This window comes from Homo sapiens, chromosome 10, assembly GCF_000001405.40.
Source record: "Homo sapiens chromosome 10, GRCh38.p14 Primary Assembly".
In the NCBI taxonomy this organism is placed as follows: domain Eukaryota; kingdom Metazoa; phylum Chordata; class Mammalia; order Primates; family Hominidae; genus Homo; species Homo sapiens.
In genome coordinates, this window is record NC_000010.11 from 73,848,301 (window position 1) to 73,867,410 (window position 19,110).

The window sequence follows — 19,110 nt, forward strand, 5'->3', positions numbered from 1 at the left end:
CTCTAAGGCGTGGGCAAATCCCTCTCCAAGAAGGATACAATGTCATCCCAGAAGTACGCAGGGAGGAGGGTGTGATGGGAACAGCCATCCCAGGGGCAAACACCATAATTTCACATACACCAGGCACGTGTGTGACCTGCAAGGAATAGCGATGCCTCTTTCTTGCCATCATCGGAAGTTGAGGGCCCTTAACAGCGAAAAGCTGAGAGCGTGGAATGGGCTTACCGCAGGCCCAGATATCCACAGGTTTTCCATAGGGATCTTTCCTCAAGACCTCAGGGGACAAGTAACCTGGGGTGCCAGCAAAACCTGTAGCAAAAGAGAGGGCAGAGGCATACTGAACCCACTTTCTCTCTCGTTAAATCCACACCAGCCATTTCCCCCAAGTCCCATCTTATTCCTGCTGCTTTTGCTACATAAACTCTCAGCACATGGGCAGCAAGAGCTGACAGGCTGGGCTTCTTGTAGCGCCTGGAATCTGAACCAGACGGCAAAGCCGTATGCCTACCAGGAACTCCAGCTCCTTCCCACAGGCAGCAAGAAAGCAGTGCTGACAACAGCTAGACTTACTGTACTGAGTCGCGTACGGCCAAGAGAGATCTCGGAGGCCAGGACCATTAAGGGTCTGGCTTCTAGTTCTAATAGAGGAAGGCAGATCAGGAAGAGGAGGAAGGGCGGGGGCTGCATTCCGGGAAGACAGGATCACCCTTACCAAACCAAGCCTGCTGCTCTCCCTGTACTTCGATGGCTAGGCCAAAATCAGCCAGCTTGACGGCGGCACCCTTGCATTTACTCGCCAGCAGCAGGTTCTCAGGCTGCAGAAGAAACACAGAGAACCTTGTGAGCACCCACCCTGCAGCCCAGAGGAAGCCTAGTTTGGGCCTACGCAGTACCACTATCTGGCACCAGGTGGCGCCAACACTTCATGAGCAGAGGCACGGAGGGGAGCCTGGGTAGTACCTTCAGGTCCCTGTGGACGATGTCATGCTGGTGGATGTGGTTAACACTCTCCAGAATCTGATGTATACAGTGGCTAAAAAAGCAGAAGGAAAAGAAATGTTAGCGCAGGGTTAAACCACCTCATCCACATCCACAACCACATGCTGCAGACTAAGGCATGTGACAAGGGGCCACGGATTCACAGAGAATCACTTAACGGCCACTGGAACCTTAGACTCTGCACATCATCTTGTTCAACCTATTTAAAGAAAGAGGAAACCGAGGCCCAGGCAGATGCAATGGTTTTTCTAGGATCACCGCTAGAACGGGTTCCTCTCACCCCCTTTTGACTGGAAAGGTCTAACACAACCAACTCATTTCCAAGAGATCAGGAGACAGCCCAGAATCCTGAGGAAGAAGAGAGCATCCAATCCCTTCCTTCTTTCTCTTTCTCCATACAGTAACTTTGTTCTTGGAGAAGAAGCTTGTGCTGGCAACTTAGGAAGGAGAGTCCAACTAAACAACCTAAGCTACTTTGGCGGTGGGTGCACTCATTCATTTCCCTAAATGTTTATTGAGTGCCTAGGATAATGAAGATGGACAAGACCCAATAGCTGCCCTGAGGTCTGGCATCCAGTAAGGCAGCTAAAACAAGTACAAAGATACCTTTAAGAAACAATGTACTTAAGAGCTTCCAAACAGGGCATTTAAGGAGCACTTCTGATGATTTTGCGTAGAGAAAAAAACCCAAAGTTATTTTATTATTTTATTTTTGAGACAGGGTCTCACTCTGTTGCCTGGGTTAGAGTGCAATGTCGTGAACACAGCTCACCGCAGCCTTGACCTCCTGGGCTCAAGCAATCCTCCCACTTCAGCCTCCCCAGTAGCTGGGACCACAAGCATGAGCCACCGTGCCCAGCTAATTTTTGTATTTTTTTGTGGAGACAAGGTCTCACCATGTTGCCCAGGCTGGTCTTGAACTCCTGAGCTCAAGTGATCCACCCACCTTGGCCTCTCAGTGTTGGGATTACAGGCGTGAGCCACTGCGCCCAGCCACAGTCACACACGTAAATCAGACTGTCCACATAGCAAACCATCCTGCCATCCCTGTCATCAAACTCCTGACAGGGAGCGGGGGCAGTCTAGAGCAGTGGTTTTCAACTGGGAATGAATTTGCCGCCCGCCCCCCCCCACCGCAGGGGACATTTGGCAATGCCTAGAGAAATTTCTGGTTGTCACAACTGGAGGAGGGGTGCTCCCAGCATTTGGTGGGCAGAGGCCAAGGATGCTTCTAAATGTCTGCCACAATGCACAGGAGAGGCCTCACAACAAGGAAGTACCTGGCCTAAAACGTTAGTAGCACCAAGGCTGAGGAACTTGGCCTAGAATATAGACCCCCGTCATCAGGCACTATCTGGTATATTAAGCACATCTGCAGAGCATCCCAGTGTATGGGGCTGGGTGGCCTGGACTTACTATTCCTAAAATCTGATGCTGGGGATGCCACAAGAACCAAGGGGTCGTACTGGGTCCCTGGGGGCTGAAACTCGGGCCTCCCCATAGGACACAGCCCAAGAGTGGGCCACAGAAACTTTAAGACTGAGCTATAGAGGCGAGTCTCCACAGAGATGTATAATTAGAACAGAGCCGGGCTAGCAGGGAGCGCCTTCTGGCCAAAAATGGCAAAAGTGCGAAGTGTCCCAGCAGAGCCAGGCCAAGCCCACTGGTACAGTCACCCCCCCTCAGGGCCCCCTCCCTATAGCTCTCCCTCCTCCCCGCAGGCTCCCTGAGCCATCACTGCCTCCTCCGTCCCAGAGCCTCGTCCTCCCCTGCTGGCACTGGAATTCATCTCCCCACTTGAGAATTCTTCCCGAGGCTGAAGCATCTGAAGTTGATCAGCAAACATTGGCCTCTCAAGGTTGAGAAATTCGTGAGGAAGCTGCACTCCCCCACTCTCCAGAAGCAGCCAGAGCTGCCACATAAGCCAGATAAGCTGCAGGCAGGATGATCAAAACCAGGTTGTAGGGACATCACCCTCGAGAAAAGCAAGGCTGGGGGAAGAGCCAAGGCGGGAAAGGCAGGCTGAACAGGCGCCTGAGAGCGTGGGTGAGGGAGGCACCAGGGATTCCAGGGAGGGCAGAGGCTGAGGCATGTGGCCGGGGAACGGTCCTCAAGTTGGAGGAGCCCCACGGCAAGGCTGGTCATGGTGGTCTAGGGACAAGGTGACAGAGGCTGAAAGCTCCCGGGGCTCTATGGTTGGATTATCAGCCCAGAACTCTCCACTCCCTCAGGACAGAAACCATGTCTTCTGCACCTCTGGATCATGCCAGAGCCTCAGCACAGTGGCTTGAGCACACCAGAATTTGTCAAAGGAAAGAAAAGGGCAGAGGGGGACATTGGGCATGGTGGCGAGTACATGGTAGTGCAAAAAAAAAGTATTTCTGGGGTCACAGGGTAAAGGAGACTTGGAAAAGCTTTGTAAAACATTCATTTGGAAGTGATTTTTTTTGTGGGGGGGGGGAGGGGGACATAGTCTCGCTCTGTTACGCAGGCTGGAGTGCAGTGGCATGATCTTGGCTCACTGCAACCTTCGCTTACAGGTTTAAGTGATTCTCCTGCCTCAGCCGCCTAAGTAGCTGGGATTACAGGCACACACCACCACACCCGGCTAATTTTTTTGTATTTTTAGTAGAGACAGGGTTTCACTATGTTGGCCAGGCTGGGCTCCAACTTCTGACCTCAGGTGATCCAACTGCCTCAGCCTCCCAAAGTGCTGGGATTACAGGCATGAGCCACTGCGCCTGGTTAGGAAGTGCTGAATTTTTAACTTCTAATATCACCCACAGTATGCAAGCCCTAGCCCAGCTCAACAGAATCTTTCTCCAGACAAGAGCTATTCTGATCTTCCCCAAAGACTATTCAAACAGGTACAATGCTGGACCCCGAAGGTGGCCAAGACTTCCTTCAGTCCTAAACTCCAGAGCTACATTTGAACTCTCGGGCCCTCATCCTACCTGGCATCTGCTTCACTGTAGTACTCTCTGGCCACAATGTCTTCAAACAGCTCCCCGCCGGTAACACTGCAACCAACGGGAAGAAGAGGGTCAGAGGCAGAAAGGGTCCTTTGTCCAACCCCAATGTCCAAGAAGAAACAGGGTCACCCTGTAGAATGGCTTTCAGAGAAATCCCAACTCCCCATGCATTTCATCTGAGAGCTCAGAACACACTCGATCCTTCAGTGACACCCGGATTCTCCTTGAGGTATCATGGGCCGTCCCTTCCTTCCGGACATTTCTTTTTCCAAAATGCACAGATTCACTAATAGTCAGGCAGAGATGAAGATACAGGGATCTAAGAGAAAACAGTCAACCTACCCCAAAAGTCACAGCTTTGAGACCAACATAAACACTAAAATATCGCTGCCCAGGAAGGACAGAGCTACTACTGAAGTTGAAGAGTAATGAGACCAATGACACAGAGACCCAACCCTGAGAATCCTGGAGAGGAGTGTCCAGGAGGTAAGAGCCACTTTTAAGACATTAAACCACAACCAACGTGGAGGAGAGACCCAATCCAATGGAGCCTGGTTTCCGACTAATGAAAGCTACCTCTGATTTCTCAGGATTTTTAAGGTCATGCAAAGAGCTGTCTTTTATTTCTTCACTAAGGACAGCACACTGAGAAACAAGACAAAGGCATCTGTGCAAGGCGTGCTGCTGAACAGAAGTGCGAGAGGAATGCTGTCCTGGGGTTCAGAGCCCTGGGGGGACGCTGGGGGAACATGGAGACCCCCTTGGTGGGGGCAGCAATCTGCCCCAGTCAAATCCTTTCCCTCGGACAAAGGAGGGGGCCCTGGGCGGAGGCTGGAGAGCCTGTTTAGGCCTCTTCCTGAGCCTTCATTTTGAGTCAGCTAGAGGGAAAGGCCCCCACACCCTCAGAAAGTGGCACTTACAGGTCAAACACGAGGTAGTGAAACCCTTCTTCAGAAATACTGTCATGGAGGCGCACTGCAAGAGAGGAGATGGGGACAGAGATTAACAGAGAGAAAACTTGGAAATCCTAGGCTTCTCCTCAGCAGCCCCACCCCTGCCCCATCCTGTCGGGCTCACAGGGCTCTCCAGAAGGAGCAGTGGGGGGAAGTGGCGACGTGCCCAGTGCCCCCCAGTGCAAGGCTATGCAGCCTGGGAGCCAGAGCCTGGCGCTCTGGTTGCCACCTCAGACTCAGGCAAGAGAGAAAAGCTTCATGGCTAAGAAGTCAAGATGGAGAAAAGCCGGAACCTTCCCAGAGGGCTGGTCTCCGAGAAGGTGGTCCTGGGATATGATGCACGATGGTGAGATGCAGCGTGAGCAGCACCTAGCAATGTTGACGGCAGGGGACAACAATGACCAGATGGGAAAGCCAGAGAGCTCTTCCAGAGCAGTAAATGGGAGCAGAACTAAGGGGTGGGGAAGAAGGTGGAAAGGCAGAGCTCAGCAGGAAGGCACGTGGTGCAGGATAATGGATGGTGAGCCTGGAAGGCCACGCACACATTCAGGCAATGACAACAATAACAGCTTATTAAGTGCTTACTATGCCAGGCCTTGTGCTAGGCTCTTGCATACATTACTGATTCTGCAAGCATTTATCAAGCACCTACTATGTGCTGGACCCCACGCTAGGCAGCGGGATTCAGGAGGAACAGACAGAGTGCCTGCCTTTGAGGAGTTTATTATTCCTTTCGACCACCTGAGATGAATGTTATTCCCATTCTACAGATGAGGGCACCAGAGGCTCAGGGACACAAAGTCTCTTAACAAAGGCCAAAGAGCTTCTAAGTGGTGGGTCAAGATGTGAATCCAGTGCTACCTGACTCCAAAGACTGTGGTCTACACCACTGCTTCCCTTAAGAAATGTGGGGCAGCCCCCATATTCAGGCAACAAAGCCCTGGCATCCAAAAGAAAGACCACTTACAAATGTCCCTAAAGCAGCATCGCAGACAGGTCCGGGAGGGTGCCACTGGAAGAAGACTCGGGCGATGCACCAGCTGCGAGAAAAAGCTGGCAGGCGGAATCCCTCCCTGCTCCCCGCCTCCAAAGCTCTTGGGTAAAAAACCAACCTGAAGTCTTCTGAGGTCTCCTCTTCAAGTTTCTGCCCACAAAGCCACCTCTGGGTTAAATGCCAACCCCTGAGCATCATTCTAATGCAGAAACGACTCCGCTTTGGCTGACTGTCCTGTCCCTCCCCTCACGTGAACTCTCTTGATGGGGAACTTCTGTTCCAAAGGCCTCCCTCGGTTTGACCTTTGCTCCAAGCCTTGGCAGTTACAGGTGCACCTCATGGAGCACTTCAGGAATGGCCTGACACCAAACTAACCAGTTCAGTGCTAGGAGACAAAGAAATGGCCATGTCTCTTCCTGGGTGGGCCCTGGCTGCTTCCATTTCCAGTGTCACACGTTTCCTCAGGGCTGAGGTGCTTCCCTATGTCCCCTCCCCACGAAGCAAGATCATTCAGAAAGCAAAGTATACAACCCAGCCGGCACAGTCCCGAGGCACTGAACCACCACTATAGCCCCCTTGTTCTCCTCCCTTGATGACTGAGGACTCCGAAGCCTGCCAGGGCCGGAGCCAGGGCCTCAAGACTGTTTCCGCATCCCATTACCTACACTATTTGATCTAATCTAGTGACTCAACCCCAAAAATCCCATCCCAATCTCAGTATTTCTGGGAACGGGATCAAAGGCAGGTGATACTTCCAATATCCCTCCCATTATTGGATATAATGTATATATCCAATATACATTCTCTCCTGGGCAAAGAAGATGCTTCCCTAGGCCTGCAGATGACAGAGGGGGCTTTTAGGACAGGAGGAAGGAGCCAGCGCCAGGCCCCTGCCTTCCTCCCATAAAAATTAGCCTGGGCACACTCCATATACACTCAATCAAGTCCTCTCGAAGTCCTGCCATTGCCTCCGCCCCACTCACTTGCGCACCTCTGGTCTAAGTCGGTGCCTCACGCTGAGTCTTGCTGCAGCTGCTGCTCCCTCGCTTCCAAAAGGACTTTCCATTTAATTAAAAATTTGCTATTAAAAAGCATTAAAGTGTGTAATACAAATAATCCCCTGGAAATCAGCTGTCCCAGAAGCTACAGACCAGCTCCATTAGGGAGGTGACTAACAGCAGCAGCATGGGGAATTAACGGGACAGCAGCAGGTATGATGCTGACAACCATCTCAGAGAAGTGGAGCCACTCAGCTCTGCCTGGGCCTGGCACTGAGCCCTGCCTCAGCCAGAACCCCACCCCATGCCCAACACCACCCCATGCCCCACACCACCCTGCCCCCGCCCAGCACAGCAAGGCCAAGAACAGGGCAAGAAGTGCAGGCACCCAGGCCTCTGCCTAGACATGGAGTCATTGGCGTCTGCCCTTCTCCAGGAAGGCCACACACAGAGCCCAGGTGGGAGGAAGCCGGGGAAGGGAATTAGAAGAAAGGAGCAGCAAAGGAAGACTAATCCTTCTAGGCCACCCAGCAGAGAGAACAGCTTTGATGTGTGCCCCAGAGCAAGGCACCTGCCAAGACAAGGAGGGATGGAGGAAGCTGTATCTGAATAAGACTGCTATCGACATTTTTTTAATTTGTAAAGAAATTAACAGGACACTGAAGACAAGAGGAGAAATGACTGTGCCATTCTAAGTGCCTATTTAGCAACAGCAGATTCATTATTTCTTTTTTTTTTTAAGAGACAGGGTCTCACTATGTTGCCCAGGCTGGGCTGGAGATCCTGGTCTTGAGCCATCTCCTGTCTCAGCCTCCTGAGAGGCTGGGACCACAGCTGTGAGCCACCGCACCCCATCAGATTCTGATAATAACAATCTAAATCTAACAACTAACACTTAGTTGAGCTGTCCGTGTGCCGGCATCGTTCCATGGGCTCCACGTGCATTACTGTATTGAACCCTCACACCAGCTCTGCAGGGTAGCTACTTACATATAAATAACCCCATCTGACAGGAGAGGAAACTGAGGCTCCATAAGAAACCTGCCCAAAATCACACTAAGTGGCAGAACCGGGACTTGAAGCCAAGACAAACCAACATCAAGATTCCTGATATTGCAGAGTTGCTTGGGAGTCACCTTCTCAAATTCTTAGGCAAAGGAGCTCCAATCTGTCCCCACTACCTGTGGCCATTCTGACTGGCTCGACAATGTCCACTGGGCAGCTACCCCGGAGCAGGCGAGGCTGTACATGCCATGGATGTGGCTGTGAAGAAGAGGAGCCGGCCCTGCCACCTGGAGCTGCCAGGCGAAGAGGGAAGACAGGCTTTAAACCAGCAATTACACAAATGCGTTAACTAAGCACAACTGTGTCATGCTGTGAGGCAGGAGCAGAGGGACTATGGATGCGTGGAATAAAATAATCTGACACCCAGCCCATTCCAGAGTAAAGACAGGGCATGAAGGCCAACAAGGGCCAGGCCATGTCCATAGACAGGAAGATCTGGGGAAAGGAGTATAAAGCATTTACTGCATTTCAGCAACAAACCTAATTGCTGTTCTTTAAAAACCGTGGAAGACAGAACAGGCCAAAACACCTACAAACCTTTACTTGATATTTCATGTCTTCAAGGACTGAGATAGCCACAACCCAAATGTTGTGGCTATTTCCAATTCTTTAAAAACCACCCAACAATATGCCACATTTTAACTAACAAATCTTTCTCCAAAAAGCACTGAAAAAGTGTTGCTGTTAAAAATATCTGCAGCAATAACACAGTGGGAAGGAGGTCCTGTTGCCATGGGGGCTTGTGGGGGACTGAGCTGCCCCCCAAGAGCTTACTGTGGCAGGGCTCCCCCCACCCCCACCATGGGGGCAGGGATGTAGGAACTGCTCAGTCATGATTCAATGTTTCTTTTTATTTGCAACCGTTTCTTTGCTACACTTACTGTTAGCTGAATGGGTACTGGGCTCAAGGGTAAATGGTCAGGCTTGAATAACTTGTGAACTGAGTCGAGGCTGGGGGTCTTGAAGAGATCACTTCTAGGGGCTGGAATCTCCATTTTCATCATCTCCCTCCTAGCCCCCTTTCCTGGCTGAACCCTTTCATAACAACTCCACGAAGGGACCCAGATAACAAAACAGAGGCAGGCATAGAGGAGTTAAATAACTTGCCAGAGGTCACAGTTACTAATTAGCAAATCCCAGATTCAAACCCCAAATCTGGATGCGACTCCGAAGCCGCAAAACTTGGCTTCTCCAAGTATTGACAGGCATGCGGACCAGTAGCATGAGCATCAGCTGGAGACTCAGGTCCTACCCCAGACCCCCTGAATCAGAATCTGAATTTTAACATGATCCCTGCGTGAGTCATAAGCACATAAAAGTTTGAGAAGTGCTGCTCTAAACCACAATGCTAGACTATGATCGAAACTGCTGGGGCAGCTCAGCACGAAGGAAGACAGAGTCTATTCATTAGAGGACTTGAGAGCAGGGAGCAGGCAGATCACAGGTAGAACGGACTTCATTCAGACCTCAGACCTCACACCAGCGTCTCCTCCTCTCAACTCCCCACCACTGGCCACACTCCCAGCGCTGTTTGGAGTTCGGCAGTGTGCCTTACACCCAAACAGGCATTTTGTTGTTTGTTTGTTTGTTTTTAATTAATAAACTTTATTTTCAGAGCAGTTTTAGGTTCACACCAAAATTGAGCGGAAAGTACAGGGTGTTCCCAAATACCCGAGAACATTCCCAAATACCCCACGTCCCCCACATGCACAGTCTCCTCCACCATCAACATCTCCCACTAGAGTGGTGGATTTGTTACCGTCTATGAACCCACATTGACTCATCATCATTACCCAAAGTCCAGAGTTTATATCAGGGTTCACTCTTCCAACAGGCTTTTAACTCCTGGGACAGAATATCTAGCTATTAAGGGGAAACTGGGCATGACTGGCCCCTAGCACCAAATGCTCCATCTGAATTCAGTGCCTCCGAGTCTGACCACAGGCAGGGCTGACCACATGCTCTTTGCTCTAGCTTCCTCGACTGTGCACTGTTCTTGGGCTGGCCCGTTTGTTTCCCTTTGGGATGGAGTTCAAGAGGCCAGAGCCAAAAGGGTCACAGTTCTGAAGGACAGCGCAGTGGAGAGAGAAGAGGAATAGTGAATTAGGGGCACAAAATTGCCTCCTCTCCTGCCACAAGCCAGGTCCAGATCCATGGCAACCACAGCCGCCTGGACCTGCAGCTCCGCCACATCTCCAACAGCCCTGGTTCCCACCGGATGCTGGAGCTCCCAGGACACAGTCTTGACTCCCCCTTCCCTCTGCCCACCCTCAACCCCAGAATCGGTCCTCGGACCAACCTCCTTAGGACCTGGGAGCAGTCATGAAATGGAAGCACAGTTCTAGGAAATCAGAGGCCAAAAGAGTGACTGTGCCCCACCTGGCCTCTGAGCAGACGGCCAGGATATATGGTCCCTCCGCCTGCCTCCATTCTGAGCCGAGGGCAGATGGTAAAAGTAAAGGGCTACCAAACAGAGTGAAGTCTATGGGGTAAAAAAGTATGTATTTAATTCTAGAAATAAATAAAAAGACACCTAGGGCTTTTTTCACCTAGAATTCTATTTTTGTCCTTCCTGCTCATTTCTCAATTGTCTTCATTATACCCTGACCCGTCCGTGGCCAACCCATCCGTGGTCAACCCGCCCATGGTCAACCCGCCCGCATCGCGGGTGATGTGGACATGGTTCTGCTTCCTGCATCACTGACCCCTAGCTGCTGTTCTCCTGCCTACATGAGGACAAATTATCACTGCTGTACCAGTTGGTCACAAGGAGCATAAAGGAAAGGAAGTTACCCTCCTCAGATATTGAGACCCGGGTCTGGAACATCAAAATGCTTCTGTGCTTATGGGTGGCTTTAGTCACGCACATGTTTTTTCTTCCTGTTCTGGAACTTCTAGGTTAGAGGTCACAAGCTTGCAAGGCCTACAGGGGCCCAGGTGGGTAATGCAAATGTGAGCTCATAGTGGGTGACAAGGACAGTGGCCAGCGGGCTGCAGGGGCAGCCACCGCTCCTCACAGCTCCTTCTGGCCATGCAAGGTGGGGGCTCAGCAGAGCCAAGCCTTCTGACTGGAAAGGCGGGGGAATAGATTTTTTCTTTTTTCAAAATGTGAAATCTCATTTTTAAATATTGGCAAATAATAAAAATATTTTTAGACCACTGAGTCAGCCAAGCAAAACATGCCTAATCTGTGACTGCTGTTCTAGGTGTTTCCCTCTGTGGGCCCTCTCCTACCAAAGGCAACATGTCAGTCCCCACTGCGCTGTTTTCAGGTGAAGGCCTAACCTCAGAAACCACCTAGGAGCTCCAGTAGTTCTGCGGCCAGGAACCCACCAGCTGAGAGGTGCTGGCTCTGCAGAACACACTGCATCAGGCAAAGCCGATCACCACTGGCCACACCAATCTGCTTCGGGTGTAATCCAAGCTGCTGATTGCCATCTAGAAAGCCCTGCACAGCTGACGTTCTGACTACCTCAGAGCTGCTCCTCTCCCAGAGGGCTAGAGCAGGACCTCAGCCCTTCCATGACAGAGCTCACTTTGACTGTTCTAGCCCGAGACCTGGGAAGCCAGGGGCTGGGTAGCTCTGAAGGAAGCATTAGGCTTCAGCAAGTCACCTCACAGCCCTGGCCGCCAACAGAGCAGAGCAGGCGACCTCTGGGGCACGGTGGGAGCCCTGAGATTTAGGCCATGCCTGAGGAGCACAGAACACGTGTTGTCTTTTGTGATGACTCAGGGCTTTCAGGGAAAACCTAGGAGATGCTCCTTGCTCTGCCTCAAGTCAACACTGGGGCTTCTGCTCAGACACTGCAGCCAGCCCAGTTTCTGTCCCTTCTGCAAGGAGCACCAAATCAGGGCCAACGCTTTTGGCAAAGACCATTTCAGCTGAACAAAGTAAAACTGAGCCAGAGTGGGTTGAGGCAGGCAAACCTCCTCAGGCTTTAGCACAACCAACAATGTGCTCTTGTCCCCCCAGTCAGGGTGGGAGCAGGGAGAAATCCTCTTTTTTCTCCTTCCCCATCTGAGTGGTTCCTGCCATCCCTTCTCCAGAGGAGCCAGGCAGGGGGGCAGCTTGCTTTCCTGGCTCTGGGGAATACAAATGGGAGCACCATGGAAACCCCCAGAGTGTGCAGGACACCGCAGCAGGAACAAAACTCTTTCAGGTCCACAAACAAAATCCTGACCCTTGCATGAGGGCTGTGGATGGCCCCTGGTGAGGGACGCTGGCAGGCTAGGAGCCCGGAACCTCACACGCTGAGGACCCTGGACCTCAGCCCAAAGACAGAAGGAGAAAGGGAAGAAATAGCATCTGAAACCTATTCTGATGCCTCACACCCCAGCCCTGAGAAGGTGCCGCAGTGATGCAGATACTCAGGTCTCTAAACTAGAATGCCCCAGAATTCTGAGACACAGTTGCTATCCTGCTCATGTAAAAACAGACACCAGGTGAAGGTCCACAGACAGAGGTGATCCCACACACAAAAGCAGTGGATATCTGTTATCCCTGCTTCTACAAAATACCCACAAAATGCTCCATGCCCAGGCACTCACCGATGTTTGGATGTTTCAGAAGTCGACATATCCGAGCCTCACGTTCTAGTTTCTGGTGATCTAAAAGCAGAAGAGAAAAAACAAAAGCCATCAACCATCCATTCTCCTTGTGGTCACCTTGTTATTCATATTCCTTCAGTTCAGGTACTAACTATGCATTTGTGATGATTTGCTGAAGTAATGCAGCAAGTCATGGCAATCCTGGAGACAACTTGTTTTCCTTTCATTTTAGGGTCTCACTTTGTCCCTCAGGCAGGAGTGCAGTGGCATGATCGCAGCCTCAAACTCCTGGGCTCAAGCAATCCTCCCACCTCAGCCTCCTGAATAGCTGGAACTATAGGCACCAGCCACCAGGCCTGGGCCAGATAGATAGTTATGACCACCTTTTCCAGATGAGGAAATGACTTGAGGGTTTGCACACTTCGAGCCAGTGAGCAGCAGAGCTGGGATTTGAATCCAGGTATTCAACTAAAACTCTGGTGCTCTTTCCACCACAACAGGGTTTCAGTGGTCCAGGGTGTCCAGAATCTCTTTTTTTCTTTCTGAGACGGAGTCTCGTTCTGTTGCCCAGGCTGGGGTGCAGTGGTGTGATCTCAGCTCACTGCAACCTTCGCCTCCTGGGTTCAAGCAATTCTCCTGCCTCAGCCTCCCGAGTAGCTGGGATTACAGGCACACACCACCACGCCTGGCTAATTTTTGTATTTTTAGTAGAGACGGGGTTTCACCACGTTGGCCAGGTTGGTCTCGAACTCCTGACCTCAGGTGATCCACCCGCCTCGGCCTCCCAAAATGCTGGGATTATAGGCGTGAGCCACCGCGCCTGGCCCAGAATCTCTTTCTTGTTAGGAACACTAATAATAGCTAAGTTATACTGAGCACCTAATATATACTCGGCACTGGCTAGGGGTTTTGCATATATTCTCTACATAGTCCTGATGGCAAGCCTGAAACATAATGATGCTGATAATAAAGAGGTTGATGATCAAGATAATGATGACTTAAAATAATAATAGCTAACATTTATTGAGAGCTTACTTCTACACCAGGCAGCTGCCTCTTTTAATTTATCCTCATAACAACTCTAGGAGGTTGGCATTAGTATGATGCCCATTTTATAGAAAGAGAAACCAGGACACAAATCCTGCTTCTCCCCGGAGTCCTCTTGGCCACCATGGCTGTAAGCTTTGACCTCTTCAAATTCAGACTCCAGGATTACTTGGTTTTGGTGGAATAACCAGAAATCCACAAGTCCCCAGATCCAAGTGAGCTGCGTGGGTCAATTCCTTCCACAGGAAGGCAGAGCTCCAGTACGTGGGAAGAGAGGATGCTACTCACAGCACGGAGGCCTCACAGCCCTCCCCCACTGTCCTTCCCTCTTTCTACTTGCTGAAATCCTGCCAAAAGTCACCTCCTTCATGAAGTCTTCCCTGCTCCTCTCGGTAGACTGTGACTTCTCCCTCCTACTCCACCCCCCCCCCCCCCGATTTCCCAATGCACTTCTCACGATTCTCACATCATATATTACATCAGTTATCTTTCAGTTGCAAGCTCTTCGAAGGGCGGGGGTACCTTTCCAGGTAGTGCTTTCTAGAGTTCTTTCTGTAAACAGGGGCTTAATAAGGGTTTACTAATAACAGTAGTCGCCATAACAATCGCTTACTATGCACTGACTACATGTCAGGCAGAGGCATGGATTACCATATTTCATACCTACAGAAACTCTGTGAAGTAGGGATCTGATTAGCTCTATTATATTACCGAGGAAACAGGTTTAAAAAGATAGAGTAATCTGCCTAAGGTAACACGAACAGGCAGTGATGCAGGTGGTCTGAGCCTAGAGCCCTCTTTCTCCACCCCTGTGCTATTATGGCCAGATAAAGAATGGTGAGAGTTGAGTTAAGACTCTAGGCTTTGGAGGGGGTGCAAAAGGAAGAGAGTCCAGTTCACCCTGAATTATCCAGGCCCGGGCAGGGGCCTTCACATCCATAGCTGCCAAGCTATTCCTGTCTCCCTGCCTCTACCCTAAACAGCAAAAAGCTTCTGTAAATCTTCCCACAGCCCTCACAATGATCCCATTAGGTAAATGCTATGATTGTCCACATTTCCAGATGATGGAAGAAACGGAGGCCCAGGGAAGTTAAGTAACTTGCCCAAGATCCCACAGCAGGAAAGGGATAAAAGGGGGATTCAAACTCAGGACTGTCAGTGTGAGATAATGTAGGGATTATGGACTAGAAGAAATTCACATTTATTGTTTCACTAACCAAACCCAGCTTTGTCCTAAACTTTCCCTCTAGCAACAGCTCTACTTTGTGGAAGGAGGTGGGGACAGACAGAGATTAGTTCCTGCTGCCCAGCTAATCCGTCCCAGCTGCCCAAAGATCTGGGTCAGGCCTTCCTTCCTGTGCCTGGGTTCAGCATGACCACCGACCAGGATGCAGCCAGGAGAACCCCAAGTAACTCCCAACTCCCAGATCACCTGGCATCCCTTGGTCCCAGGCACAGGGATGTGGCCAGTGACCTCCAGAAGCGAGGCACTCAAGGAGGCTGTAACAGCCTTGCCTGGTGGCTGGGGGGCTTGCTTCTTCCAGATCTGGCAGGATGTTGACATGACCCCACCTTCCTTCCATCCCTGGACTTGAGATGGAGGTACCAAGCCAGCCAGCCCCAAAGCTACAGACCCACGGCCCTCTCTCTGGGCACAAACCTCACCACCCTCCAGCCCATAACTCTCAGGCTTGGTTGCCTGGGCAGGTGCAGGAGAACAGCATCTTGCAATGCGGAGGTGGCAGCTGAGGGAAGGCCCAGAAGATTAATGTTTATCTCCTTCCTTAAGTCTCTTACTAGCTAATGGTTACAGTCCCACAACAGCAACAGCACTAAAAATAAGGGCACTCTGCTTTACCAGTGACTTTGAGTGGAGAGAAGATACACAGACTCAGGCTCCCAGCTCCTCAAAGGAGCTGCCCAGCATCCAGAGGGTCCTTGTTAGCCTCTTAGTTCAGCCTTAACTCCAAGGAGCTGAGCCCTGTGTTCCCGGCAAGGCCCAGGTCTTCTCTGAACCCCAGGACTATACCTTGATCCTCATTCTGATTCTAAGCTGTGGAGTATGGCAATTAACAACACATCGGTTTTGAAGTCAGACAGCCCTGGATTGAGCCCAACACTGCCACATCCAGCAAGCTATTAAACCCACCCGAGCTTCATTCATTCCTTCAAGAAATATTTATCGTGGCTGGGCGCGGTGGGTCACGCCTGTAATCCCAGTCCAGTACTTTGGGAGGCCAAGGTGGGTGGATCACTTGAGGTCAGGAGTTCAAGACCAGCCTGGCCAACATGGCAAAACCCCATCTCTACTAAAAATACAAAATTTAGCCAAATGTGCTCACTAGAACCCAGGAGGTGGAGGCTGCAGTGAGCCAAGATTGGGCCACTACACTCCAGCTTGGGGTGACAGAGCAAGTCAAAAAAAAAAAAGAAATATTTACTGAGGCCTACTATGTGACAGACAGTATTCAAGATGCTAGGAAGACAGTGGCGAACAAAACAGACAAAAATCCCTGCCCTCATGGAGCTGACACTCTAGTGGGTTGTGTATGGGGGAGGGATGGACAGTAAGAAAACTCAACAGCACGTTAGATGTCACGGCAAGTGCTGCGTAGAAAAAGCAGAGAAAGTGGGGAGTGCAGATTTGAGTAGGGCAGTCCAAGAAAGCCTCAGTAAGGAGGTGACATTTGATTAGGACCCAAAGTAGGTGAGACAGTGAGCCAGGCACATTATCTTGGGAAAGAGGTTCCTCACTTCTTTTGTTTGTTTTTTTTGCTTTTTTTTGAGATGGAGTCTTACTCTGTTGCCCAGGCTGGAGTGCAGTGGCATGATCTCGGCTCACTGCAAGCTCCGCCTCCCAGGTTCACGCCCTTCTCCTGCCTCAGCCTCCCGAGTAGCTGGGACTGCAGGCGCCCATCACCATGCCCGGCTAATTTTTTTGTATTTTTCAGTAGAGACGGGGTTTCACTGTGTTAGCCAGGATGGTCTCGATCTCCTGACCTTATGATCCGCCTGCCTCGGCCTCCCAAAGTGCTGGGATTACAGGCGTGAGCCACGGCACCCGGCCAAGAGGTTCCTCACTTCTAAAATAGAGACAGCAAGATCTGAGGTTTAACTGAGGTGGTACAGGTCAAGAGTTTTGCATAAGGTCTGGCATATAGCTCCTTTCCAAGGGCCCAGTGAGAAGCTTGACAGGGTCTCCTGGGCTGGGCTTGTGGCCACAGCTATCACCAGAGACACTGTGAATGGGACCCACTGTCCCCTCAGCCCAGGCAGATGCAGGGTCTGCAACACAGCAACTAAGCCCTCCTGCCTGGCTTCTGGGCTCCCCACATGGTCCTCCATTGCAGTCCTGGAGGTGGAGTGTCCCTCCCTGTTTTGGCGGGGCCCACCTGTGTCTACAGTCTGCAGGTGATGGGCAGCAACAGGGGCTCCTCAGAGAGAGGGGAACGCCGCAGGAAGTGCCACTGTCCGCTTCCCTCCTCTTCCTCGCAGCCGTGGCACCCTGCCATCCACAAGCTCTCCTCAATGAACAGAGCAGTTTCTACCTGCCCCGCTCTCCCCGTTCCTGCTGCCACATACTGCCCGGCCACCACCCAGCCTCTCCAGCTGTTGTCTCCTGTCTCTTCCCCTGACACTTCCTGTCCTGTAGTCACATCCAGGGCTGGCCCACGGCTGCAAAAAAGCAGAGGGTCCATCCCAGCAGCAGTGGCAGCAGAGGGGTTCCAGGATGGAGTAGTGGTTTCTAGAGCATCTTTCCCAAAAGCAAGGGCATCCCAGCTGGACGCAGCATCTCCAACCCCAAAAAGGGCGAGGCCACTGAATGGGCTTGGTCCACAGTGGGAGGGCCCTGGCTCGGCATCTCAAGGTGCTGCAAAGGTGTCTCCCCTTGAGACACCCCTCCTTCCAGTAACCACTAGGGAGAGGCTCAGACCTTCCAAGGTGGACCCTCCTCCACGCACCTTTCTACCAGGCTCATCCCCGCCCCTCCCACAGCCCAGCCCCCCCCTTCCTGTTTGACAACTGCCACTTCCCGCTTTTGCACAGGGCCACTTCCTGCCTGCCTGTGTGCTACTGCCATGGAGAGACCCACCCCTGCCGGCCTTCAGCCCAGCTCCAACCACAGCCCTCTGCAGGTTTTCCCCATCATTAGCAGAGGTGGCAACAGGAGCAGAAAGCAGAAGCAGCTCCAGCCTTTCCCCAGCAGCCTGCCTAGACCAGAGTGGTCTGAGCCCAGGCCAGAGCCAGGCCCTGGGAAACAAGGATCCTAGAAACCCAACCTCTCCCGCCTTCTGCCCAAGTGCTTCAGGACTTGGTCCAAGGTGCCACGATTTCACAGGAAGGGCAGCAAGAAGTGACCAGATGCACCAGGGGAGGCAGAAAAGAGGAAGCAGATAGGGAGGTGATAGCTTGCAGCCAAGGGGTGCACCAAGCCTGCCCCTGAACCACCTCCCCCTCTGGCCTGAAGACAGAAGCCTACTCCAATGCCCTTTCCTTCCTCTGCCAGGTCAGGGGGCCAGGGAGGGCTGGCCACAGATTCTCCATGGCCCTCTCAGGGATGGGCCTGCTTGACTTAGTGACATTTTCCTAAAAAAAAAACACAAATGCCAGCACTAGCTTCAAATAAGATCCTGCTGCCACGTAAACATACAATCCTCTGTACGTGGGAAAGGATGCACATTCCTACTCTGACTGAGGACTCTCCCAAGTTCCAATCTCAAAGACATTCTTAACTTTGTAAAGGGTATTTTGCAGGTCTGTGCCTATGACCCTAAACATGGATGTGAGAAACTTCCTGCAACCCCACTGATTTCAGGGCTCCATGGGAGGCGGCCTCACTTGCTGCCCTCCTGAGTGCCTTTCATCTTCTTCCCAAGCAGCAGAGGCCGCCGTCTGGTCCCCTTGGCACTCTGAGGAGCAGAAACAAGGACATCGCAGGGATTTGATGTCATAATCCACCTTCCCCAGCTGCTTATGCACAGCCCTGGGCCTGGGACACTGACCAGTGGGAATCCCAAGCCACGATCCCACCGACCTCACCCTGACACTGTGATGCCACATCCCTTCCTCTTTGAATCTCACTCTAAAGATGCAAAGAGTCTCCAATTAAAAGCAAAGTCCATCCGACACACAAGAGCAGGACCATGGTTTCTAATGCCCTCACACATGTACACCTGGTGACTAGCTGGGGGCTGTGATACAGAGGGACGGGGCCTGAAATGGTCCCATGTGAACCCCCAAGGCTCTGTGCATGTACCCAGCATCCTCCCCTTATCTTCAACCCTCACTCAAGCAGTTTTAACTTGGTGACACAAAGACCTGAGCCCCACTTTGGCCTCTGGATCTCAAGGCAAGGGAAGCGAGAGGCTCCAAGAAATGCCCTATAGCGAAAAGGCCCTCAATCAGCTTTGACAGAGAAAATCCCCAAGGGGTCACTAGCAAGCCCCAAGAAGGCAAGGCTCTGCCTGGGGGCACTCTGGCTGCTCTCAAGGGCCAGAAAAGGGTCAGCCGTCTGTTCTCCATGCCCCCCGGCA

At 51.6% G+C, this 19,110-nt stretch overlaps 1 protein-coding gene across 78 annotated transcripts in view, besides 3 other annotated features; it reads right to left on the reverse strand.

The window, feature by feature from the left end:
* CAMK2G (calcium/calmodulin dependent protein kinase II gamma) overlaps window positions 1–19,110 on the reverse strand; it is a 62,055-nt gene that overhangs the window by 35,800 nt on the left and 7,145 nt on the right. For 70 of the 78 annotated variants that reach the window (NR_160044.1, NR_160047.1, NR_160045.1 and 67 more), the window contains 6 exons: window positions 12,530–12,589; window positions 4,892–4,946; window positions 3,954–4,019; window positions 961–1,033; window positions 713–815; window positions 226–309 (listed from right to left, as the gene is read on the reverse strand). Coding sequence is in view for 55 of the 78 variants with exons in the window: in XM_047425803.1 (XP_047281759.1) it covers window positions 226–309; window positions 713–815; window positions 961–1,033; window positions 3,954–4,019; window positions 4,892–4,946; window positions 12,530–12,589 (441 nt within the window). In the remaining 23 variants the exon portion in view is untranslated. The remainder of the gene's footprint in view (window positions 1–225; window positions 310–712; window positions 816–960; window positions 1,034–3,953; window positions 4,020–4,891; window positions 4,947–12,529; window positions 12,590–19,110) is intronic. The other 8 variants (NR_160042.1, NM_001367539.1, XM_047425805.1 and 5 more) reach the window with 2 other exon arrangements.
* Window positions 9,760–10,260: an enhancer, noted in NCBI's record as "H3K27ac hESC enhancer chr10:75617818-75618318 (GRCh37/hg19 assembly coordinates)". NCBI's record gives its function as "activates a minimal SCP1, AML or CMV promoter by ChIP-STARR-seq in primed H9 embryonic stem cells {active_cell/tissue: H9 hESC(primed)}" and the evidence as "EXISTENCE:reporter gene assay evidence [ECO:0000049][PMID:30033119]".
* Window positions 10,261–10,761: an enhancer, noted in NCBI's record as "H3K27ac hESC enhancer chr10:75618319-75618819 (GRCh37/hg19 assembly coordinates)". NCBI's record gives its function as "activates a minimal SCP1, AML or CMV promoter by ChIP-STARR-seq in primed H9 embryonic stem cells {active_cell/tissue: H9 hESC(primed)}" and the evidence as "EXISTENCE:reporter gene assay evidence [ECO:0000049][PMID:30033119]".
* Window positions 11,173–11,222: an enhancer, noted in NCBI's record as "active region_3577". NCBI's record gives its function as "activates an Ori minimal core promoter by ATAC-STARR-seq in GM12878 lymphoblastoid cells {active_cell/tissue: GM12878}" and the evidence as "EXISTENCE:reporter gene assay evidence [ECO:0000049][PMID:35858748]".